Source organism: Homo sapiens, chromosome 1, assembly GCF_000001405.40.
Source record: "Homo sapiens chromosome 1, GRCh38.p14 Primary Assembly".
NCBI lineage: Eukaryota > Metazoa > Chordata > Mammalia > Primates > Hominidae > Homo > Homo sapiens.
Genome location: NC_000001.11, coordinates 248,678,085 through 248,703,527, shown reverse-complemented (window position 1 = coordinate 248,703,527; position 25,443 = coordinate 248,678,085). Strand labels below are relative to the sequence as shown.

Genomic DNA, 25,443 nt, shown 5'->3' with positions numbered 1-25,443 from the left:
TGAAAGGCTGTTGGAAGATGGAGTTAATATTTTCAGTAGAGTGATCATGGAAGGTCTCACTGAAAGAGTGACTTTTTAGTGAATGCCTGAAGAAAGGGTAGGAGAGAGAAAAGGAGGAAACCTCATGGATATGTAGGGGAAGAGCGATTCAGGAAGAGGAAAAACCCAGTGCAAAGGCTTTGAGTGGGAGTGTGGCTGCTCAAGGAATGGCAAAAAGATCAACTGGGGCTGGAGTGTAGTGAGCAAGGAGGACAGCTGGGAGGTGAGTAAGGAAAAGAGCAAAGAGAGAAAGCAAGAAGGAGAGCATGGAGGACAGCAAGAAGAAGAGGACGAAGGTGAGCAAGGAGGAGAGAAAGAAAAGTGGGCAAAAGAGTAAGGAGATAAGCAAGGAGGTGAGTAAGGAGGAGAACAAGGAGGTGAAGATGGGAGATAAGCAAGGAAAAGAACAGTGAGTTGAGCAAGGAGGTGATCCAGGAGAACATGCAAGGAGGTAAGCAATGAGAATGAGCAAGGAGGTGTGCAACGAGAGTAAGGAGGTAAGCAAGGAGATGAGTAAGGAGAGTAAGGAGGTAAGCAAGGAGGTGAGCAAGGGGGAGAATAAGGAGGTGAGAAAGGAGGGTGAGCAAGAACAGAAAGCATGCAGAATAGCAAGAAGGTAAGCAAGGAGGAGAACAAGTAGATAAGCAATGAGAGTGAGCAAGGAGGTGAGCAAGAAGAAGAACAAGAAGATGAGTAGGAGGATAACCAAGAAGGTGAGCAAGCAGCAGAGCACTAGGAGAACAGCAGGCCCACATCATTCTGGCTTTGGCATTTGCTCTGAGTGAGGTGGGTGACACTGGAGGATTTTGAGCAGAGGCAGTACACCATATGACATGAACCTGGTTGCTGAGATGAGAGTAGGCTCTAGGGGACTAAGGCTGGAAGCTGGGAGAACAGAAGGGCTATGGCAATACTACAGTGAGAGATGAGGCTTGGATCGAGGTGGTGGCAGTGGGAAAGGCAAAAAAAAGTAGAATTCTAAAGATACTCTGAAAGTAGATACAGCAGGATTTTTTAATGGGCTTGATGTGGAATGTGAGAAAAGAGGGACAATAAATAGATAGAATTTCTTCTTAATTACCAGTGAGGGAGCACTTGTGTAGAGTGTAGTCCCTTTGTTTTGGCCAATTTCTCCCTTTTGGAATGAGAGTATTTAGCTAATGCCTGTACCCCTTTGTATCTTGGAAGTAACTAATTGTTTTTTGATATTACAGGCTCATAGGTGGAAGGAACTTTCTTGCCTCAGATAAGACTTTGGATTGTGGACTTTTGAGTTAATCCTGAAATGAGTTAAGACTTGGGGGACCGTTGAGAAAGGATGATTGTATTTTTCAATGTGAGGAGGGGCCTGGTGTGAGGTGACCAGGATCATGGGGGTGGATTTCTCCCTTGTTGTTCTCATGATAGTGGGTGAATTCTCATGAGATCTGGTTGTTTAAAAATGTGTAGCACCTTCCCGTTTGCTCTCCTCCTCCTGCTCCAGCCATGAAAGACATGCCTGCTTCCCCTTCACCTTCCACCGTGATTGTAAGTTTCCTGAGGCCCCCCAGCCATGCTTCCTGTACAGCCTGCAGAACCGTGAGCCAATTAAACTTCTTTTCTTTATAAATTACTCAGTCTCAGGTAGTTCTTTATAGCAGTGCAAGAACAGACTAACACAGGGTCTTTGAGACCTGTCAGTGCCATGTTGATTTGTGGATAGCTATTTTTGGAGGGGTGCAGGGGAGCAAGGGGAATGAAGGCCAGTATGTCCTACTCTGTCATCTTGGTGATATCGCTCTCTTGATTTCATTTGAAGTGAATCCTATCACTTCGTATCAATTTCAAAACTAAATTCATCCAAATTAAGTAATTTCACTAACTCTGTGTCCACTCAGTATTATGAACATCATAATGAAAGTTATCACAAAAATTGAAAATCAACCCTAAATTTATAAATACCAAGAGTGTTTTAATGTTTTTATAGTTTTTACAGCCACTTTACATAACAATGTTGATGACAATCAAAATCTTCTGCCTATTATTAAAAAGTTAAAAGTATGTGCAGTGGCTCACGCCTGTAATCCCAGCCCTTTGGGAGACTGAGGTGGATGGATCACTTGAGGTCCGGAGTTTGAGACCAGCATGGCCAACATGGTGAAACCCCGTCTCTACTTAAAAAATACAAAAATTAGCCGGATGTGGTGGCAGGCACCTGTAATCCCAGCTACTTGGGAGGCTGAGGCAGGAGAATCGCTTGAACCCATAAGGCAGAGGTTGCAGTGAGCCGAGATGGTGCCACTGCACTCCAGCCTGGGTGATAGAGAGAGACTCCGTCTCAAAAAAAAAAAGTTAAAAGTGTGTAAAATCATTATTGTTTGTCTTGTAAAAAGTTTCTATTTCAATATAGTGTCATATCTTTTTACCAAGTTTACAAATAAGCTTTTCCTTTGATTGGAGGCTAAATCTTAGCTCATGTGTGAAATGTAGCATCAACGAGAAAACATAAATTACATTGCCCATTTTGGTCTTTGATTATTAAATGGTTGGCAAGTATTCCTTCTGTTTGAATAAAACTGGGAATTCGAGTTAATAATATAGTAAATCTTTGTAAAAATTTTCCATGATTCACCCAATGAGCATTGGCAAAGAACACAAGTTCATTAAATTCACTATCTTCTCTTTTATATAATTATTCCATAAACTGGTGACGATTTATGGCACTGACGCATATGAACTCAATGATTTAAAAAAACTCTATCCATGACACTTTTCATAGAGTGTTTGAGAAAACTGAGAATAAAAATTTTCAGGAGAACAAAGCTATAAATAAATGCATTTGCCTCTTGTTTAAAAATTCCAATAAAACCTGATAGTTGACTTAATACATCTGGAGTACAAGTTGTCATGACAGAAACAAATATAATCACATTTAGTTGGAATTTTTTTCTTTGAGAGACATAAAGGATTAAAATGTATTTATGCCATGAGTTTGATTTTCGGGGTCATGAATGACATTTCTCCATAAATTAGGAAGTCCTTTGAGAAGAAAAGCCATTAATTTGGTTAGTGTTCTTGTATTGCACAACTAATCTAAAGCTAAAGAAGAGTACTTGCAATTTTTCAAACTTTATATCAATTGACATTTGATATCATGTAAACAATCTTCTGTTTTACACGCTATAGTTGGTTGGCTTTAATTGGAGGTCTTTCACTTTGGGTAAAATAAATTATGATCTTTTACTTATACTTCAGTTATTTTAAAAAATAGTAGCTGAAAATTAAAGTCACCCTGGTTGGGGAGCATTTAAAACAACACAAAGGACAAAAATGCGGGAGCAAGGCCAGGCTCATCCCAAATCAGCTGAATCTGAATTTCTGGCAGGGGGCCTAGGATGCGCATTCTAATTTAAAGCTCCTGGGTGATTCTGTACTAAGTAGTCAGCAGTGGGCCGGACGCGGTGGCTCAGGCCTGAAATCCCAGCACTTTGGGAGGCCAAGGCAGGCGGATCACGAGGTCAGGAGATCAAGACCATCCTGGCTAACATCATGGTGAAACCCCATCTCTAATAAAAATATAAAAAATTAGCTGGGCGTGGTGGCACGTGCCTGTAGTCCCAGCTACTTGGGAGGCTGAGGCAGGAGAATTGCTTGACCCAGGAGGCAGAGCTTGCAGTGAGCCGAGATTGCGCCACTGCACTCCAGCCTGGGCGATAGAGCGAGACTCTGTCTCAAAACAAACAAACAAACAAACAAAACAAAAAGTAGTCAGCAGTGAGAACCAGGGACCTTGGCTTTTGATCATCTCTCTGGTGGATTGAAGGAAACTGTTTTCCATCACAGAGCTGGCCTGTCCTCAGCTCAGTGAGTCCACTGTGTTCATCCAGGGCAGCACTTTCCATCCCTCTCAGAAAGATGCTTCCAGCCAGGCCCATATACTTGCTGACATTTTCCTCTCCCCCACTCCTCCTACCATTAATTTCAGCTACTGCATCTTAGCCTCCACCCATCTCCCCATGTCCATGTCTCAGTGCATGTTATTTCTGCTGCCATATAGTAAAGGTCTCCTCAAAGTCCATCTAAAATCCCAATCTTTCCTTAATCAAACCCACAGTCTTCTACTTTTACCCTATGTCCAAACCAATCCCTCAGGCTCCTTAAGCAGAGTGCTTCTGCTCTTTTATGTTCTTCTTAAATTGCTTTCTCAGCATTTTAACTGCACACGTCCTCATTCTCTAAATGCTTTGGGACCTTAAAGGCAGGGACCCAAAGCTGATTCACTTTGACCCTAACACACTTTATGCAAGGCTGGATACACAACAAGTAAACTCATTGAATGAGTAAACAAATGGACAACTGAATATAACTATGGAGAAATTAACACTCATGAAAGAATACATTAACAAAAAAATTCAGGTTTAATTCATAAATGGAAGTGGCTAGGCTCTTGCCAGAGCTCCATGAAGTACCCTCCCCAGGAAAAGAACAAAGAAGATGGGAGATGGGGGTCTGATTCTGGCCCCATTTCTGATGGCTGATTTGCAATTTCTACTCTTGTTAGCAATTGGAAAACCCATCTAAGAAGTTATCGTCTCTTTGCATAGGTCTGCTTGTGTGCATCTCTTCATTTCAATGGCTACGTCACGAATACCTGCAAGAAACTGTAAGTGAGACTTCCACTCTCCTCCTCCTTCCTTATACTCTGCATTTTACTCATACAGACTGGGCTGGAGTAGGATATAAGTCAAGTCACACTCTGGTGTGATCCATCTGACAGGGCTCTCTGCAGCAGAGGCAATGAGCTAGAAATGTGTCCTCCAAAGATGGGACTTCCAAATTCCTAAATCTTCTCAAAATCTATGTCAATCACATATTGGCATATTTTCTAAACTTTATATGAACTTTTTTCCAACTTACATTACCACTTGAGATAGCATATGCTTTTATAGACCCTTTATGCCAATGGTAGTAAGAAGTCCTAATGACTTTGTTAGGGGTATCCTGTATGCTACTGATACTCAGGGGAGGGGGTATGTCTGTGTTTCAGTTATGTAGACTCTTTGTAAATTTAGGAACATAAATCTAATCTCTTATTCTTGGTCTGAGTTATCATTTAAGAACTAGCAATAGCCATAAAAAAGCTACGACTGTGATTGTGTTCCCTGCCTTTCAAAGCACCTTCAGACATATTCTTTCACATGGCACATATTCTACGCTCTCGATGATTTCATCTTACTTCTTCTGCAGTGTCAATAGCAATCGAGTGATTGCTATTTTAAAGCAAATACATCTCTTTTATTATGCAAATTACAGAAAGTAGAAACATAAGAATCCAAGAGACCAACCAACATGGTTAGCCTTCTAATTACCTCACTTAGATGAACTTCAGGAAGGTGGAGCTCCCCAGCGTCAGCAGGAGGAAGTGAGCAGGTAAAGAGGAATTATGGAAACAACCCAACCCTCACGGAACTCAGCCCACTGCATTTCGTGCTATTCCACACTATCACTCCTAAATCATTTCTCATTTAAATGTCTTCAATTAATTTAGAATTTTGTATTGTATTTTCTTAAAGCAAGCATAGTAAAATATAATTTGCAATCTTTTTGAAGAAAGTTTAAGCTTGGTCATTGCCTCTCTCCAGAGCTCTTATTTTGAAAATTTCAACAACAACAACAGAGGAAAAAAGCACACATTGCCCCCGTGGTTTTTTGTTTTTTGTTTTTTTGAGATGGAGTTTTGCTCTTGTTGCCCAGGCTGGAGTGCAGTGGAGCAATCTCGGCTCACCACAACCTCCGCCTCCTGGGTTCAAGTGATTCTCCTGCCTCAGTCTCCCGAGTAGCTGGGATTACAGGCATGTGCCACCACTCCGGCCAATTTTGTATTTTTAGTAGGGACGGGGTTTCTCCATGTTGGTCAGGCTGGTCTTGAACTCCCGACCTCAAGTGATCTGCCCGCCTCAGCCTCCCAAAGTGCTGGGATTACAGGCATGAGCTACCGCGCCCGGCCATGTTTTTTTTTTTTTTTTTTTTTTAAACCTAACCAAAATTTGCAGAAGATGAAGATTCCTCCAATATGCTGAACCAACTTCCTCAAAGCTAGTAGAGAGCCTGTCAATGAATACATGTATCAATTCAAAAATAAGTGAATGTGAAAGCCAGTTGGACATATTTACAGAGTCAGACCACTGCTGTGTCCTCATTTCTAAGAGATTTGGACAAAAGCTGATTTCTCCTCAACCCTACCCTTGGAACACATACCCCATAAGCTTGTGAGAGAATACCAGTACATCCTAGAAAAGTACCTGTGTTTATGATGCCAGAGAATTCAATACACTTTATTTTATCTGCTGCACACCATTTGAGTTCTGTATCGCATTTCCTTCCTTGCACTGCAAAGCATGTTGGGCACTTAAAACCACTGGAGCTGAATTCATCAACATCTTCCTCCTCTAGATCACTCATCTTAATCTCCCAGGAGACTGTTAAAAAAAGATAGAAGACTGGCTAGTTATTTGCCATTGACAAGCAAATGTACTCATTCTCATAGAACAGCCGCTAGAACTAGATCCACCCACCCCATTCACCCTTCCCTAATCCTCACCCCTGCCTTCCTCATGTGACACTTTCAAACGCATCCAATAACACTAGAGTTACTATAAAAATCCCTGCCATTATGGAGCTCATTTTCAGATGGAGGAAGCAGAAAAAAACAAAGAAGAAAAAAATATGATATGTCAGATGATGATAAATACTACGGAGAGAGACAAAACAGGACAGGATGTGCAGGGTAGGGATAATTCACGGGGTTGGTCAGGAAAGGCCTCACAGAAAAAGGGACATTTTTTGAGTGGAGGCCTGAAAAAGGTCTACTTCCAAACACTTACACAGAAAAATGTGGTCTTACAAGTAAAGGTCACGGGTGGCAGAATGCACAGGATACTCAAAGAAGGGGCCCTAACAAGAAAGAGCCTTAGCTTCTTCTGCACTATCTGCCTCTGGGGCTCCATAATAATGTCCTAGTGAACAGAAGTCGACTGATTCCCCGCTTCCATTCAAGTGTTCTTGCTGCCACCTGCTGTCATGGGCAAAGACTGGGCTTGGCTGTTCCAGTAAAAGATGTCCAGGCACAGAGCAGAGAATGGTGGGGACTATGAATAAAGAGGTGGAAATCTGTGGAAAATTAAGAGCAAGGGGAAAAAAGGAGTAAAAGCCATGGTATTTCCCTGAAGAATTCTCCTTAGGCTATCAAAAGGTAGTTTTGATTTGTTCACCTCCCCCAGACCAGGGCCTCTTCTGCCTCTGTTAGCCCCTATGGGATGAGTAGTATGTGACACCAAGGGGACATGCCCACCCAGATCCTGTATGCCCTTTCCCCACTTTGCCTGGCTACCAAGAATCCTGGGATTTCTTGCTCAAACAGACTGAGATCTAACCTAGCAGTTGTCAGAGGTGGTGGGAGTGGGGAGTTTAAACTTCAGCATTGGCGTGTCCACACACATGATCGCGATGGCCTTCACAGTTGAAGGGGAGTGTGGAATGGGGAAAGGAGATGGGCTGGAGACCAGGATCCAGATTTCTCAGTGCTGCAATTCTCTGGCATGAAACTCTTGCGAACATTCCAAACCTTTTAGGTCATTCTGAGGACACATTTGTGTAAGTAAAAGGATGGAAAATATTTTATTATTGTTTTTAGCTTACTGTATTTCTTTTAAGTATTGTGACATATTACCATGGGCCCTGCAAATGTGAGGGCAGCTGGCCCTCCACCCGGGGTAGGAGAAGGGGTTGGGAAGGCAGTGCTGAGGCCTGGGAGCTGGGTGCTGCCATGAAGAGAAGGAGAAGCAGAGACTAGAGACGCCCACATGCCTCTCCACCACTACAACCATTAGAGATCCAGGGCTAACCAGGCTTGCTTTCTCTGGAGAGTCTTGTTTGAGGAAGCACAATCCAAATGTAATTTTAAAAACGCATAGATTCGGCCGGGCGCAGTGGCTCACACCTGTAATACCAGCACTTTGGGAGGCAGACGCAGGTGGATCACGAGGTCAGGTGATCGAGACCATCCTGGCTAACACGTTGAAACCCCGTCTCTACTAAAAACACAAAAAATTAGCTGGGCGTGGTGGCGGGCGCCTGTAGTCCCAGCTACTCGGGAGGCTGAGGCAGGAGAATGACGTGAACCTGGGAGGCAGAGCTTGCAGTGAGCCGAGATTGCACCACTGCACTCCAGCCCGGGCGACAGAGCGAGACTCCCTCTCAAAAAAAAAAAAAAAAAAAAAAAGCATACATTCAAAAGTAATTCGTAAAAACTTATCACTTTAAAAAGTAATTTTGAAAATTAAAAGACAAAATAACGAAAATTTCAATGGTTAACGTTAGAGAGACCTTCCAATTCATAATTTCTCAGCAATATGTCTCATATCCCCTTTTGTCTCTTTCCAAACTCTTTCATACCCTACTCTGCTCTGAAGCTACTCTGTCCAATGTATCTATTTAAAATTAATTAAAATAAAATGTAATTAAAAATTCAGTTCCTTAGTCACACCAGTCTCATTTCAAATGCTGGATAGCCACACATGGCTAGTGGCCACTGTACTGGACAGCACAGGCATAGACATTTTGATCACTGCAGAAGGTAATGATGAATGTAAATTAAAATTGCAATGAGGGGCAACAGGTATTCTCATCTATTTCTGGTGGGTAAATTAGTAATACTTCTTTTTGAGAACAATTTGCACAAGCTCTTTTATCCAGCAATTCCTAGGTATTTTCCTACATGCATTTGTACAAGGTCATTCATTGTAGCATCCTCTGTGATAAGAAGTGATCAGAAGTGACTGAAATTCTCATGGTTAGATAGATTCTGTCATATCCATGAAACAGAGATGAATACCACCATAGACAGAATATGGCCATATTCTGATGAAATGAAAAGCTCTTCAAGATGTACTTTTAAGGGGAAAAAAACAAGATGTAGAGCATTTGATATAAAATGCTGCCAATGGAAAGAAAAGATGCATTTGGATATGTTTGTAAGTAACAGACCATTTCTGGAAAGGTAAACAAGAAAGGAATAACTATGGTTGCTAAACAGGAGTTGTGTTGGGGGCTGAAGAGGGTAGGATAATATACGTCATAGGCATATATTATTTATTTTTACAGTTACACAATTAAAAACAAATGTAAGTAAATTTTTAAAATGGGACAATATATGAAAAAAAGTTTTAAAATTTGTTTTTGCTCCCGAAAAAAAAGGCTTGTTACAGAAAATATTATATTCAAACAAACTTCACTACTAATCATAACCACTAAGCAATCTCTGATCAGCAGAGCAAAGGAGGGCACTTTTGAGGAAACAAGTGGTCACCTGGTTAAGTATGAGATTAAGTATCACTTTCTCCCACTCCCCTCAAAGTTGCCCACATGCCTCCCTCTGCCCCTCCAGTGCCTGGCTGGGGCCCTGATGTCCCAAGGCAATGGCATGTGAACTTGAAGAAAATTATTAGAGTGTGTGCCACATGCAGACTGATAGGTCTTCCTGCCCTCTCAACCAAATGCACAAACACTCTTAAGCCCAATATTCCAGTAAATGGTTTTTTTTTTTTTTTTTAAAAAGTTCTGGACTTTGATTTCTGTTAAAATGCAGAGCATACCAGGCAAGTTAATAGCACTGTTCTTAGCTATTCATAGTGAGAGGAACGACGATTTTCCCATCCTTTTTTTTTTTTTAAATGAGCTTTGATTGAGAAAAATCAGTGGGGCTGGGTTTGGGCTCTAGAGGAGATAAGATAGGATAGAGTGGAGAAGACAGAGGATGGGGAAAGGAGAAGAGAACTTGAAGATTGGAAGCTCCAAGATAAACTTCCACATTTTACCTAAGGCCTGTCCTCAAAATAAATAAAACAAGACTTTCTGTAATGTTTTATTAGGTGTGGAAAGCAGAAGAGAAGAAAATATATCAAGAAAAAACTAATTTTATGTAAAATTATGCTGAACTCTTTTATCTTATCAAAAATCCTAAGTTGGCTCATAATGAATTCTTACTAAGTGGTAACTATTTTTACTGTGATGCTGGTCCACCAGTATGGGGCAGGGGGAAAGGACAGGTGGGTGGTGAGTCTATTTTCAGTCTGCCCTTCTCTTTCTCATCAAAGGAAAGATGAGAACTTTGAGAGGCTGAGGGAACCAGGAAAGGTGCAAGGAGGTGGCCAGGAATAGTCAATGCTCCTGGCCGTGAATCAGTACACCACCCAGGTGACGTGGGAGCAGGAACAGTCAGTGCTCCTGGCCGTGAATTAGTACACCACCCAGGTGACGTGGGAGGCTGGCTTGGGAGGTGATGCAGGATGCCCTGGCAGCAATGGGAGAAATGTTAAAATGATTATGTGGCACTAACTGAATGACTCCTCCCGATAAGCAGACCCAGAACATCTTACTTCTGTGAACAACCAGGGAGAGTTAGAGGCTGCTCACACAGTACCCTATAACCTTCAGGGAAATCGGGGAAGTAGAACTACTTGGATGAGGGCTCATGATTCACGTTTCACTGGTGAACATTTTCTCTCCCCACAATTCTCCCAACATGAAGTGGTCTCTGGAGAAAGACAGACAAACATTAAAGCTCTCTTTAATGAGAGCTTATTACATGCCAGGCATTGTGTCAGCCCTTTACTAGCTCACATGTTCCTTACAACTATAATAGGCAGGAACCAATATTCTTAGTACTCTAATAAGGATACCTAAGAACAGATAAGCTCAGCTGCTTTCCTGAGGCCAGGCAGTCAGTTAAGTGGTTGATCAGAAGGCAACACTCAGGACTGTGTCCCCAGCACTGTTCTGTAGACTGTAAGCATTATGAGGGCAGGAGCCGTGTCTGCTCTTTCCTTATGCCGTGCTGATGAGTACACTGCCCAACAAAGAAAGGTGATTGGAGGTCTGCAGAATGCAAAGGGGAATGTGGCTGGGAACGCGAGAATGAAGGCAGAAATGCCGGAATAAAGGCTGGACTGGGGTAGAGAAAGCAGGTGGGGATTCAGAAATGCGGGTGGGAATCAGAGCAGGGATGTGGGAATGCGGAAACGCAGGTGGGAACGATGGGGAGAAAGTGGCAACGTTGGGGGATGCAGTTGGGAATGCAGGAATGAGGGTGGAAATGTGGGAATGCAGGCTGGAAGAGTGGAGAGTACAGGAATGCAGGAGGGAATTCACGAATGCAGCAGGAACCTGGGAATGCGGGAATGCAGAGAGCGACGCTGCGGGAAATGCGGGAGGACCCCAAGCCATCCGCTCACCTGTGAAGAAGGGCATGAAAGTAAGGCTGCAGGCCAAGAGGAGCCTGCCCGCCACCGAGGGACGCGTGGCTGAGGCTGCGGCCGGCCCCGTCGCTCCGTCTGGAAGAGAGGAGCCAGTGAGCTCAGTTCCGCGAAAGGGACACGCCCAGGCGGCCGGGCCCGCGCTCCCGCGCCACGCGAATGGCCTTTCCGCTGCTGGGCGAGCGCCCCTCACAGCGCCCCCGGATGCTGGGTGGGCCGCGCTGTGAGCTCGGCCTCTGGAGGCACCTGGGACTCGGAAACACTGCCTAGCCTAGAGACTTGTAGGCCCGAGAGAGCCTCTGGCCTGTCCGCTCCTTTCCACAGCGCGCTGTGGGCCCGCGGGAGCAGCTGGACCGGCAGCTGCGTCCTGAGGTGGGCGGGGTGGCTTGGTGAACCCGTACCTGACGCCGGGCGGTCCGGGACAGGCGGGTTGGCCGGGCTAGGCCGGAGGGCACTGCGCATGCGTCGGCCTCCACAGTCCCTTTGGCCTGCCCCATTGGTCCTCACTTCCCGCTCTTCCCGCCCTCTGGGAGCCTTGGCCAATGAGATCCTGGTGGCTCCCGGCTCACGTGACTGGAGAAAGCCTGGTGGGCTAGTTCCACAGTTCTGACGATTGGAAGAACTTGGAGGAGCTGGAATGTCTGTTTTTCCGATTCTTTGGTTCTCACCCCACCCAATTAAAGATATGCTATTGTGCCTCACCCTCTTCCCTACCTAGTCTAAGCATTTTTGAGGAAAGGGTACCTATATACTTAATTCTCTGACGGGAACATTCTACCCTACCAATACCCTCCAAGTCATCAATGCATCTAGTGCAATTCTGGCACCTCAGAATATTTTCTAACATACTCACACCTCCTTGAGACTGAACACTTTGAAAGGACAGGGACTGTGTATGTATGCATGATCCACATACTTCCAGCCTTTAGCACTGTACCTGGGACATAAATGCATTGTTAGTGTGTGTTGAATGAATGAAGGGTCCCTTCTACCTATGAGCTCAAGAGTGTTAGAATTCTTCCTGTTACCCAACTGCTGTTTTGATGGCTTACTTTCTGGCAGCTGCAGAAGCTCTAATTCTTTTTGGAAGCAACCTAAATATCCATCAAGGGATAAATGGATAAAGAAAATGTGATATCTACCTAAGATGAAATATTACTCAGCCTTAAAAAAGGCCTTTTCTGCATCTATTGAGATAATCATGTGGTTTTTGTCATTGGTTCTGTTTATGTGATGGATTGTGTTTATTGATTTGCATGTGTTGTACCAGCCTTGCATCCCAGGGATGAAGCCTACTTGATCGTGATGGATAATCTTTTTGATGTGCTGCTGGATTCAGTTTGCCAGTATTTTATTGAGGATTTTCACATCAGTGTTCATCAGCGATATTGGTGTGAAATTTTCTTTCTTTTTTTTTTTTTGGTTGTGTCTCTGCCAGGTTATGGTATCAGGGTGATGCTGGCCTCATAAAATGAGTTAGGGAACAGTTCCTCTTTTTCTGTTGTTTGGAATAGTTTCAAAAGGAACTGTACCAGCTAGTCTTTGTACCTCTGTGAATCCGTCTGTTCCTGGGCTTTTTTTTTTTTTTTTTTTTTTTGGTTGGTAGACCATTAATTACTGCCTGGATTTCAGAACTTGTTACTGGTCTATTGAGGGATTCGACTTCTTCCTGGTATAGTCTTGGGAGGGTGTATGTGTCCAGGAATTTATCCGTTTCTTCTAGATTTTCTAGTTTATTTTCATAGAGATGTTTATAGTATTCTCTGATGGTAGTTTATATTTGTGTTGGATCAGTGGTGATATCCCCTTTACCATTTTTTATTATGTCTATTTGATTCTTCTCTCTTTGCTTCTTTATTAGCCTAGCTTGGTGGTCTATCTATTTTGTTAGTCTTTTCAAAAAACCAGCTCCTGATTTCATTGTTTTTTTGAAGGCTTCTTTGTTTCTCTATTTCCTTCAGTTCTACTCTGATTTTAGTTATTTCTTGTCTTCTGCTAGCTTTCGAATTTATTTGCTCTTGCTTCTCTAGTTCTTTTAATTTTGATGTTAGGGTGTCGATTTTAGATCTTTCCTGCTTTCTGATGTGGCCATGTAATGCTATAAATTTCCCTCTAAACACTGCTTTAGCTGTGTCCCGGAAATTCTGGTGTGTTGTGTCTTTGTTCTCATTGGTTTCAAATATCTTATTTATTTCTGCCTTAATTTTGTTAGTTACCTAGTAGTCATTCAGGAGCAGGTTGTTCAGTTTCCATGTAGTTGTGTGGTGCTGAGTGAGTTTCTTAATCCTGAGTTCTAATTTGGTGCACTGTGGTCTGAAAGACTGTTTGTTATGATTTCCATTGTTTTGCCTTTGCTGAGGAATGTTTTAGTTCCAATTATGTGGTCAACTTTAGAATAAGTGCTATGTGGTGCTGAGAAGAATGTATATTCTGTTGATTTGAGGTAGAGAGTTCTGTAGACGTCTATTAGGTTTGCTTGGTCCAGAGCTGAGTTCAAGTCCTGAATAGGCCTGTTAATTTTCTGTCTCATTGGTAAAGTTTTTCTTTTAACTATTTGGTGTTAGAAGTAAGATTTGAAGGATACCCAGTGGCCCCCCGGAACAAGGAATGCCCAAGTGTAGATACCCACTAGGGCCCATTGCTCTCACGCTGCAACTGAAGATTATGGGTAAATTTCCTCTTGGATTCAAACTCTGCAAATTTATGTTTTGAGCTCTAACTTTGTTTGAGCAATTTGTTGACTGGACTGGGTTCAGAATTGGAATGGATCTGGTAAAGAAACCAGACTGGGTCCAGTAGGAGGCCTCTGGTAGGTAAGGTTCCTGGAAGACAGCATATCATGTGTTTTTTGAATCCAAGGGCTCTAGAACTCTTCCATGTGGGACTGCAGCATATTTTATGTATAAGAACCATGGACCCAGAACATGTGTTTTTCTAGAAAAATGAGTGAACCTGACCAAAGGTAATTTTAAGTTACAAAGGCCACAGTGGGGAGACTTTTTACAAAGGACAAAGAGGTGCATGCCTTTATAATACGCCAGCTATGGGGACTGAGAAGACCTCCTTGTAGCTATTTTGAACCCCAGAGGAGTTGCCTCAAAAGTAAAGGACCGCGTGTCCCAAGAAGTTTACCTGTATTTTAAATAGTCAGGCCTTTGCATAAGAAATTTTTCATTTCTATACCAGTCATCTGATGGACCTGGCCTGTCTACCTACTAGAGAAAGCCCCCAAGGGCTACACTCCCTGGGCAATAATCAACCAATCCCCCAGAGAAAAAAAATGGAAGTTTCAAATCAAATGTGGAAGTCCCCATACCTGAAGCTATCTGACTGACAGTTGAATCATATTTAGAAAAACATTTGTAAGAATGAGTCTTTTCTGTTTTCTCTCTTTAATCCTGCTTCTCCCATGGGAACCCTGCAGTCAACTGAAACACCTCTTATGAAACTTCCCGCTAAACACATACTCTGCCAATTCTTTCTTGTTGTCATGATCTTTGCTATGCCCCAAACTCTTTCTGGTGGGTGGGGGGAAATATTATTCAGTCTTGCAATCTTGAAAACAAAACAGGAGAGAAAAGTTGTACCAGTCTGTGATTATAGAGCAAGATTAGAAGTAACCATGGTGAGTCAGGCACACAAAATATTTGTTCTAGTCTTCAGTGGGTTCCACCCACTTAGTATTTTAGTTAAAAGACAGAAGGTGGGTTGGAAAACCACTGATTTAGCAGAATAAATCTCCAAAATACAACTTTTTGGCAGAAAAACTATTTTCACCTGCTTATTTTGAGGACTCTTTGTAAGAGAAATTTACATCCCTAAAGGGAATCTCCATTTGTAAGAAGGTCTACCTCTCTGGACAGAGAACACTGGAAACTCTGATAAGGAAGAAAGCGTTGGCTTAAATCTACAGAAGCCTTGCCTTTAAAGTGCTTTTCCTAGCTGTCTTGCCCTAACTGGGTCTTTACATCTTTCTTTCTTGGTTTGGGCAAATTAAAGCATTTAAGCTGGAAGTCCAAGCTCTGTGCTTTTGAGATATAAATTTTCTACACAGTCTTCTCTAGAGTTTAATAGGTATCTATTTAAAATGCAAGTTTAGGGTAGATAACTCATCAGAAGTAGAAGTAAGAAAAATAGATATTTGGAAACTGAGCAAATAAAAAAACATTAATGATCTTTTTCACAAATATTAGTAAGAAGCTTTAGCCATTTAAGTGGCATTAGCCAAAAACAATTTAGATCCAGATATTCTTTAATAAATTAGTGAGATTTGTATTATTGTACCTGGCACATGGCTAAAAATTTGTAATGTTTCTGTTACATGTCTATCTATATCTGGATGTATGTACATATGTGCAATATTTTTCTACTGCCTTATAGTATTGCCAAAATTAAATAACACCATGTTCAAACAAGACGGATGTCTAGCTGTAGGCAAGCAGGTGATTTTTCTACTTTGCTCCTATGTCTGGCCCATAAAAGCTTGTTCACACTGCTGGGCAGAGCTCTCTGAATTTCTTCTGATCTGTAGTGCGATCTGATAATGAATCATTCTTTGATCAAATAAAGTCTGCTAAGTTTAATTTGTCTTAAGTTTTTATATTAAGACTCACTTTCCTCATTTGAAAAATGAAATGATAAAATATATATCTCCTAAATTTCTGCCAGATTTTTCTATTCACTTCTAATTTTCAAATGATCGTATTTAGTGAGATCTACCCATCCTCTTGGTCTGTGACTGGTTGTGGAACAAATAGATTTGGAGGAAGATGAGAAGCATGATGATTGTCTCCATTAAGCCAATAATTTTCTGAGAGTCTATGTGCAATACAGAAACAGGCTGCTGTAACTGCAAAGTAAACTGAGTATACGCACTTAACTGCTCTCATGTGGCATACTGACTAGGCATAGTGATGAAGTAAAACAATTTATTATTTTCTGAGTACTTAAATGTCTGGGTTTTGTACTTTATCGAAGATTATTTTATGAAATGTGAAAATATAAATCCTTTACTTTTTTCACTGTTTACTCTCCTCACTCTCTTAATGAAAATCTCTATATCTCATGCTCATCACTTCCTCACGGACTCTGAGTTCAGTTGGCACCTACTCCATATTCTGCTTTCTGTTTCAGCAGGTAATTTACAATTTAACCCAGAGGAGGCAGCATCCTCCTGAGACCAGCGTCCCCCAGGCTTCCTTCTGGAAGCCAATCTCCTCCAGACTGTGGCGGCCCAGTCTCTATGGGAAACTAACAGAGAAGATTGTCTCCTTGATATATTATACATCAGGTTTTCTCTATCACTGAGTTTGCATGTTAAATTGGGTCACTTCTTCTGGTGAGACACAGAGGAAAACTTCAGAACTGTTTCTTTATCATCATTGGTCCAGACAGTGAATACATATTGAGAAGCTACATGTTATTTAATCAAGGTATTGCTGGTCTTGTATTTCTCAGATATTTACCCAATAAGGAAATTGAATTTGTCTACATGAGATTTATGTAAGCAATCATTTCAAATTTTTTATGAGAAAAAAATCAAGACATGTTTGCTTAAAGTGATTTAATTGTTCTCTTAGTAATTATGTTTCATATTTTTTTCCAATGAAACAAGCAAACAAAATAGTGCATTCAGTTTGCTTGAATTTTTATCATTTTAATCAGTTTTGGAGAGATCTATTTTTAGTTTGAGACTAGAGTGGAAGCAGCTCATGGTGCAGTGTGTATTGGTTTTGTTCCTCAGTGTTGCTCTTTTGCTTGATATAAGTGGGATAAAGGGCAGCTCTTCAGCATCAGGCCACTCAGAGAAAACTACACTGAAGTAAAAAGGCTTCATATAGATTAGATACAAATGCTCTCAGAGGTGGGGCAGCAGAGGCCATCTTGTTGAGTGTAGTTTTACATTTCAGTAAATTGAAATTAAAATGTATTTGTAGGTTCCCCAACTTAAAACAGCTGTGTCAGAACATGACAAGAATTCAGGTCTCTTTTAATCTTATTACTCATCATACCACATGTGTGAATTTAAAATAGACAGACTTGGAAGCAGGAAATCTTTATACATATTTAATTCAATATGCTTTACGGTTAAAAATAATATATTCAAAATTTTCAACTTATATCTATCAATGATGCACATATGTATATGAAAATGTATTGTGTCTTTTTAACCAATGTGTTAACTACTAAGTTTTTGTTAATAAATGCACATCAATTTGCCTAATATTTTGAATAGGTGTATTGTATATATGCTTATATATCATAATGATAATATGTTTGCATCCCTATAGATTTGTTTTGTATGTCCTCAATTTCAAATTGTAGACAATTTTCAAGGAAAATATTAATTTAATAACTTTTCAATAAACAGTAACTATATATACACACTATATGTACACAAATATATACACAACTATATATACATATATATGTATGTATACATATACACAACTATACATATATATGTATATATATACTATACATGTATATTTATATGTATATATATACACGAACTATATATGCACTATATATACACAACTATATATAAATTATATGATGCTTTTCCTTTAGCAGTGCAGAAATGTGAGTGTTAGAATCAAGGAAAGAGCATTATTATTTTCTCATTCTCTAGATAATACATTACAAGGAATTGGCCACGTGGCAGTTTTGTAGAATTTTACATCTACCGATAGCAAGCTAACCCGGGAGATAGTATACTCCTGTACACTGCTGATTCTGCTGGAAGGGTGGGTAACCTTTTGCCTTGTTTTATGGGACAGCTGCAATTCTTGGTTGTTTGGTTGAGATATTTTAAATACAAACCAATTAACAACCATTTTATTACTTGTTTCATTGAGTTCTATTAAAAAGTCAGAACAAAAACCCAGTTTTAAAAGTTACTCTGCATTGTTAAATAGTATTATAATGGATGTCAAAATATGCAGAATGTAATCACCTGAGTCCCCATTACTTTTTTATTAATGTTTAATCATATTTTTTGAGATTATTACTTTAATATGTGAGGTATTTTATTTAATCTATAATGTCAAAGAAAACAGTGGAAAAAAGAGAGCTTTTTTCACTGAATTTTACAAGCAATTTAAATATATAAAATATAAAAGCAATTTATAACACACAAAAGTATTTCAGTTGCTTCTTTGACATTAATGTATAAATAATATTAAAAATATGAAATATCCAAAATCTAGAAAGAGTATAACAAATGATTTTTAAGAACGAGCACTTAGGCTTATCATTTATTCATATTTTTGTTTGCTTTAATGATCTTAACTGTTAAAATATTACAGATATAATTACTGTTCAATGTTTTCAACTTATTTTTTCCCTCCGCTACCCCATTTATTGGCATTTGTATTCATTCCAGTAACTGTTTTATACAAGCTTATCTGTGTGTGTGTGTATATATATATATATATATATGTATGTGTGTGTATTTATAAATAATGCACTGCACAATTTGAATGTTTAAATGCATATGACTGGGAACATATTTTGTGTAATAGTTTGTGGGGTTTTTTCAAAACTATGTTGAAATGTTCAATATTGATGTAGAGTATCCCATTCAGTTTAACTTCTAGAGAGTGTTCCATTCTGGGATAAAGTAGGGTATGTTATCCATTTTCCTAGTGATGGTAATTAGGGGTTTAAACGTCATGGAGCAAACATCCTCACATATGTCATTTTTTAAAACTCAAGTGTACATTTGTGAGAAGGAGCATTGCTGCATCAAACTTGCGCATCTTCAGTTGTGTTCAAAATTTCCAGTTGACCCTCCAAAGTAGGTAGGCTGCTTACACAGCAAACTAAGCAGCAGCAAAGAGCTTCGTCCCTTCACATGTTTGTCGAGACTTTACTTGCCAGACATATGTTTTCTAAAGCAATGGACACAAAATAGCATCATGTTAAAGTTTTAATTTGCATTTCCATAACTAGTAAAGTTGAACACATTTTGAATTGTTATTGGGTCATTAGCTTTCCAGTTTTCTGAGCCCTTGTTCATATACTTTGCTCATTGTTTATGCTAATGTGTTTTTATAGTTTGTCGTTTATCAGGGATAGTGCTCCTTTGTCATTTTCATTGTAAATATGTATTGCTCGTCACTTGACTTTGTGTGACAGTACAATTCTTTTTGTTTTTCCTTTTTGAGATGGAGTTATGCCCTTATTGCCCAGGCTGGAGTGCAGTGGCACGATCTTGGCTCACTGCCACCTCCACCTCCCAGGTTCAAGCGAGTCTCCTGCTCCAACCTCCTGAGTAGCTGGGATTACAGGCATGTGCCACCACGCTCAGCTATTTTGTATTTTCAGTAGAGACGGGATTTCAGCATGTTGGTCAGGCTGGTCTCGAACTCCTCACCTCAGGTGATCCACCTACCTCAACCTCCGAAAGTGCTGGGATTACAGGAGTTCGCCACCGCGCTTTGCCAAGAGTGCAATTCTTTTCAATTACTTGTTTTAATGATACAATGAAATGCTTCAAAGTGACTGTATCATTTATAGCATTTGGACAAAAGATTATCTTCAAATTTTTTCATTAAACATAGGTTCTACCTGTCCTATAAAAAATAACATTTCACATTATCTTTAAAATTTGTCATAAAACATAGGTTCTACCTGTCTTATAAATAACATTTCACATTTGCCTGGTAGCAAGGGATAGCATTTATGTGCTTAATAGAGTTTATCATTAATGAAATAAGGCAACTAAACCTTAGATGATCAGTAACCTGATTTTAAAATCACTTGTTTAAAGTTGGCTCTAGTTTGAAAAAAATTAATAAGTTGTTTTTAGTGAGAATATTTGAGTCATGTGAACAGGATCTAACACACATGACTTTGATGCAGAAAAACTAATTTTAAACATATAGATAATACCAGTGAAAATAAACAAAATATGATAAACAATATATAGAAAAAAGTTATTTTTGTGAGCTTATGTTAGTCAAAGTTATTTTCTATGAAAAAAACTTAGAATGCAGAGGTCAGCAACACATCCTGGAAATGAACTGCCTTGATTTAAATGCTGGCTCAGGTGCTGGCTCTTTCAGTGCATTGGGCAACTTATTTGATCTTGTTATGCCTCCGTTTTATCTTGAGAAAAAGAATAATAACGGCATATTTTAATTTATTGTACAATTATGAATATTAATTGAGCCAAGGTGTGTCCTGTAGAGATAATAGCATCGGGCACAGAGAAGGTGCAACACATGGGTAATGGCATTGTTAGTATAACTATTGTCATGTCTTGCACATTGACACAAAATAAATTTCCCTCTCTCCAAACCAGAGCTAATTATCAATGGTTTTAAAATCATATTCCATACTCATTCCATGTCTTAAACAGTAAATCCTCATTTTAAAGTGGCTTACCACCCAATTTATTCAACAAATAGCTAAAGACAGTTGACTCTGCCCAGGATGTATAACCACAGTTAAAACTACAAACTTTTGTACTAAAAAATCACCCAGAAACTTGTATGAAAAGCAAATTATTGGTTTTATCCCACAAATTTTTATTTAGTATATTTGCCTTGAGACTTGAAATTCTGCATATTTAATAAGCACCCTAGATTATTTGATGAGAAAAATCTTAATTTCAAGATTGAGAAGTTCCATATAATAGAAAAACAGTACTAATCAAAAGCTTTTAGAAATTGGTTACTCAACTCATAGTCTTAGGCATATATTTTTTATGATCTTTCCATGTTAAAAATCTCCCACCATTTTATTTGTTTAAGCAGTGTGGAAGATGTCCAGTGGATTGAATTTAATTTAGGAGGATATTACTCCTACCACACTGTGTTCACTTTTTGTCTCATTTAAAACTATTGTATATTTTTTCTCAACAATCAGATCACAGATTTCCCTGCCAAATGGACAATCTCACAAAAGTGACAGAATTCCTGCTGATGGAGTTTTCTGGTATCTGGGAGCTGCAGGTGCTGCACGCCGGGCTGTTTCTGCTGATTTATCTGGCAGTGCTGGTGGGGAACCTGCTCATCATTGCAGTCATCACTCTCGATCAGCATCTTCACACACCCATGTACTTCTTCCTGAAGAACCTCTCCGTTTTGGATCTGTGCTACATCTCAGTCACTGTGCCTAAATCCATCCGTAACTCCCTGACTCGCAGAAGCTCCATCTCTTATCTTGGCTGTGTGGCTCAAGTCTATTTTTTCTCTGCCTTTGCATCTGCTGAGCTGGCCTTCCTTACTGTCATGTCTTATGACCGCTATGTTGCCATTTGCCACCCCCTCCAATACAGAGCCGTGATGACATCAGGAGGGTGCTATCAGATGGCAGTCACCACCTGGCTAAGCTGCTTTTCCTACGCAGCCGTCCACACTGGCAACATGTTTCGGGAGCACGTTTGCAGATCCAGTGTGATCCACCAGTTCTTCCGTGACATCCCTCATGTGTTGGCCCTGGTTTCCTGTGAGGTTTTCTTTGTAGAGTTTTTGACCCTGGCCCTGAGCTCATGCTTGGTTCTGGGATGCTTTATTCTCATGATGATCTCCTATTTCCAAATCTTCTCAACGGTGCTCAGAATCCCTTCAGGACAGAGTCGAGCAAAAGCCTTCTCCACCTGCTCCCCCCAGCTCATTGTCATCATGCTCTTTCTTACCACAGGGCTCTTTGCTGCCTTAGGACCAATTGCAAAAGCTCTGTCCATTCAGGATTTAGTGATTGCTCTGACATACACAGTTTTGCCTCCCTTCCTCAATCCCATCATATATAGTCTTAGGAATAAGGAGATTAAAACAGCCATGTGGAGACTCTTTGTGAAGATATATTTTCTGCAAAAGTAGAACATCCTGGTCTTTACTATAGAAGATCTGCAACAAAACCCCAAAAAAGCATAAATACTTTATGACAAAAAAAGATGAAAAAATTGTTGATGAAATGATGAAAAATCCTGAAAAAAAAAACCTGTTGAATGGGAGAAAGACAATATTTGCACTACTATATGTAGATAGAAATGCAAATGTTTCTTCAAAAACTAAAAGTATAAAAGTATAAAAGTACCTTCATAAAATATTTCAAGGTTGTGTAACTGCAGCTTGTTGTGGTGATTTATTCCTTCCCATTCCACACATGTTCGAACTGCTTTAATTACCTCATCTTGAACCTGTAGCCTTGCACTCCTGTTAGTATGAATTTTTTGGAAGAGGACACACACATACACACACACACACACACACACACACACGCACACAGTTTTAGTACCTGATTTAGCCAGTCAACAAAAAAGAACATAAAACAAGCAGAAGGGTTATTAGAACAGGAACGTATGTTTTAGATTTTGCCAAATATTTTAAGGATATTTCTCTTTCACTTAGTTATTTTTAGAAATCTGTCAGGAAATTAACACAATTTCCATCAATGCATCTACTGAGATTGTCACTGAGTGCCTCAGTTTCTGCATTTGTGTTAGTATTCAATGTGTTGATAGAAACGGATCTCTTTCCTGGGTTTTAGTGCCTCAGTTTCTACACCTGTGTTAATATTCAATGTGTTAATACATACAGAGCTCTTTCCTGGGTCTGAGTTCTTGGTCACTGCTGGTGATTATCATCATCGCCATTGTCATTATTTTGTCAGAACACCTGAGCGTGAGTCCCTTGGCACATGGGCTGTCTGCCATTCTCAGGTGACTGGGCTCGTGAAATGTACACTGGCTATTCCTGATTTTCACTTGATGGGATGGGAAGAGGATTCGTGGAAACACTGATATTCTTAGTTGGTTCAGGATAAGAGTCTTGATGTGTGAACTGTCATTAGCCCATCGCAGTTGTGTGTGAGGCTGACCTCTCCATTAGGCACTGGACTTTACATCCCAAATCTCACTTTTACTTTCCAGAGAGATTGCAAACAATTGGGAAAATACAATAAAACATAAAATTCTGTAAATATAATTCTTCGATATGCTGCCAAATAAAAATTTGTAAAATTATTTTTTCTCATTTTTAACTATGCTTTTGTAGTTATCAATGTAATAGATGTTTATTGCTTTAAATGTCTTTCTTAAAAACTGTCCTGCTTTAATTTTATAAAACAAGGAAAAAAGTTACTCAAAGTGCTACAACACAGGAGAAAGAATTCTTTGCTTAGACCTATCTATTTGCAACTATTTTATATAAAATTTTACTTGAATGCTTAATATGTGTTTTTTCCTGTTCTTGAAAGTACATTTAAAACATTAAATATTGTTTATAATTCTAAATGAATGTAAATGTTTTATTGCATAATAAAACCTTTGTTATTAAGCTATCACTGTTTTTCTCTCATAAGATGAACATCTGAAACTATAAGATAATTTGCCATGGATTAATATTTTTACTTAAATACAGTCCTAGATAAGCAAGTACTTTCACCCTCAGTCTTATGACCCTGATGTCAGAGAAGCCAATGGCCCAGGATGGGGAAAATGTGCTAGCTTTCTTCAGCTTCTAGACCTGAAATTTATGGAGGTGGACTCAGGACCAGCTATACCTGATAAGGCTCAAATGACACCTGTCCCACCAGAGCAGGTGTGAGTGTTCCTGAGTGACTACTCAGGGTTCTTGAGGTCAAGGACTATTTTAAGGGAATTTTAGGGAGCAAGTTGACTCATCACTTAATGAAAGAGGCAACAGGGCTTCTAAGAAAGACAAGCACATTATAAATGGTTTTTAATCCCTTTTAATATTAAGTAGTATAATAAAGCACATAGTATAATATAGCATATAGCTATATTACATATATTAGTACTAAACATACTAATATATATTACAATATATATTATATTAGTACTAAACATCAAGCGACAGAACATCACCATCACGGAAGCCCTCTTGCCACTCCTCCCAATCAGCACACACTCCCCACCAAAAATATTAACATTATTCTAATTTTTTAATGCTTACGTTGAACTTTAAGTATTCAGAAAAGCTGCAAAATTTGTACAGAGTTTTTATGTAGTGCTCACCCAGCTTCTCCTAATTTTATACAGAGTTTCACTTATGTACTTGTGTCATTCATATTTTTCTTGATCCAGAGCCCCTGGCATTCAACATTTCCATTAAGTAAATTTCTAGGGTTGTACCATTTGGGGCAGGAGTAGCTGCTCACCTACATGAAGTAGTTACAAGGATCAGGATCTAACAGCTTTTTATACAAATTTTAGACAAGCCTCCTATTTGAACTGTTTAGAGGTACTTGATTACTTCAACTTCAAGCTTTTGGAGGGATTCTTCTAGTATAATTCTGCAAGCTTCTGAGCTGCTTCTATGACCACATTAATATTCAGCTTTTTTAGATCTAAGAAGTCCAATTCTAATTATTTTTTTTTCAGCCTCCAAAAATTTCTTGCTGTTATCTTCTTTCCCAAACTGTTGGCCTTTGTGTATTTATGCTTTAAATATAATAGTTCCTTCAGACAATGGTAAAAACTCTTGTCTAAAAAAAGAAATCTGAAAATTTCTTGTGTTCTCTGCCTTTATTTTTGAATGATACTTTAGCTGGATTTAGAATTAAGGCTTTGTAGGTAACCTGAAATTATTTCATAGCACATACAACAACTATAATTAATGAAATATGCGTGTAATTTAAAAATAGAATTAAAACTTCATAAATTTCTTAACATTTTCCTTTGAGACTTCCTGTTTGTCCTGTGGATTATTTAGAAACATATTGTTTAATTTCCAAGTAGTTACAGATTTTTCCAGTTGTTTTCGTGTAATTGACTTCCAATTTGATTCAGTGTTGCCAGAGAAAACATTGCACATGATTTAGAATCTTTTAAATTTGTTAAGGTTTATTTAATGATCTGTGAAATGGTCTATCTTGCTGACTATTCATGAGTCTTTGAAATAAAAGTATATTCTGATGTTGAATGGAATGTCCTCAAAGACATTAAATCTGTTATCACAACATCCCCTGTGGACACCCTCATGACTACATTAGATACCTTAGCTTATTTATATGTTCCTGCCTTATTGTCCTTTTTGTCATTATGTAGTAGCTCTATAAAATATTTGGAATAAAATATTGAATGCAAACTTTATCTTTCATGTATCTATACTGTTATCCCCTAAAGTAGCAGGGTATTATC

General features: G+C 39.4%; 1 protein-coding gene and 1 pseudogene across 3 annotated transcripts, besides 2 other annotated features; one reads left to right on the top strand and one right to left on the bottom strand.

The window, feature by feature from the left end:
• Nucleotides 1-761: 761 nt before the first annotated feature.
• OR14I1 (olfactory receptor family 14 subfamily I member 1) lies at nt 762-25,390 on the top strand. 2 transcript variants are annotated; one of them, NM_001004734.4, is made up of 5 exons: nt 762-825; nt 1,523-1,617; nt 4,623-4,681; nt 17,962-18,076; nt 21,204-25,390. In NM_001004734.4, exon 5 carries the CDS (start codon nt 21,224-21,226, stop codon nt 22,157-22,159), a length of 936 nt encoding a protein of 311 aa, NP_001004734.1. In that variant the 5' UTR covers nt 762-825; nt 1,523-1,617; nt 4,623-4,681; nt 17,962-18,076; nt 21,204-21,223; the 3' UTR covers nt 22,160-25,390. The 2 variants fall into 2 exon arrangements, with proteins under 2 accessions (NP_001004734.1, XP_047276599.1); XM_047420643.1 differs by lacking the exons at nt 762-825; nt 1,523-1,617 and having other exon boundaries at nt 3,789-4,681; nt 21,204-25,388.
• Nucleotides 4,418-6,466, bottom strand: LYPD9P (LY6/PLAUR domain containing 9, pseudogene; annotated as a pseudogene). Its single transcript, NR_125950.1, has 2 exons — nt 6,321-6,466; nt 4,418-4,669 (listed from the first exon to the last, which is right to left on the bottom strand). The product of NR_125950.1 is annotated as an LY6/PLAUR domain containing 9, pseudogene (transcript).
• Nucleotides 14,873-14,922: an enhancer, noted in NCBI's record as "active region_2873". NCBI's record gives its function as "activates an Ori minimal core promoter by ATAC-STARR-seq in GM12878 lymphoblastoid cells {active_cell/tissue: GM12878}" and the evidence as "EXISTENCE:reporter gene assay evidence [ECO:0000049][PMID:35858748]".
• Nucleotides 16,541-16,740: an enhancer, noted in NCBI's record as "active region_2872". NCBI's record gives its function as "activates an Ori minimal core promoter by ATAC-STARR-seq in GM12878 lymphoblastoid cells {active_cell/tissue: GM12878}" and the evidence as "EXISTENCE:reporter gene assay evidence [ECO:0000049][PMID:35858748]".
• Nucleotides 25,391-25,443: the final 53 nt, after the last annotated feature.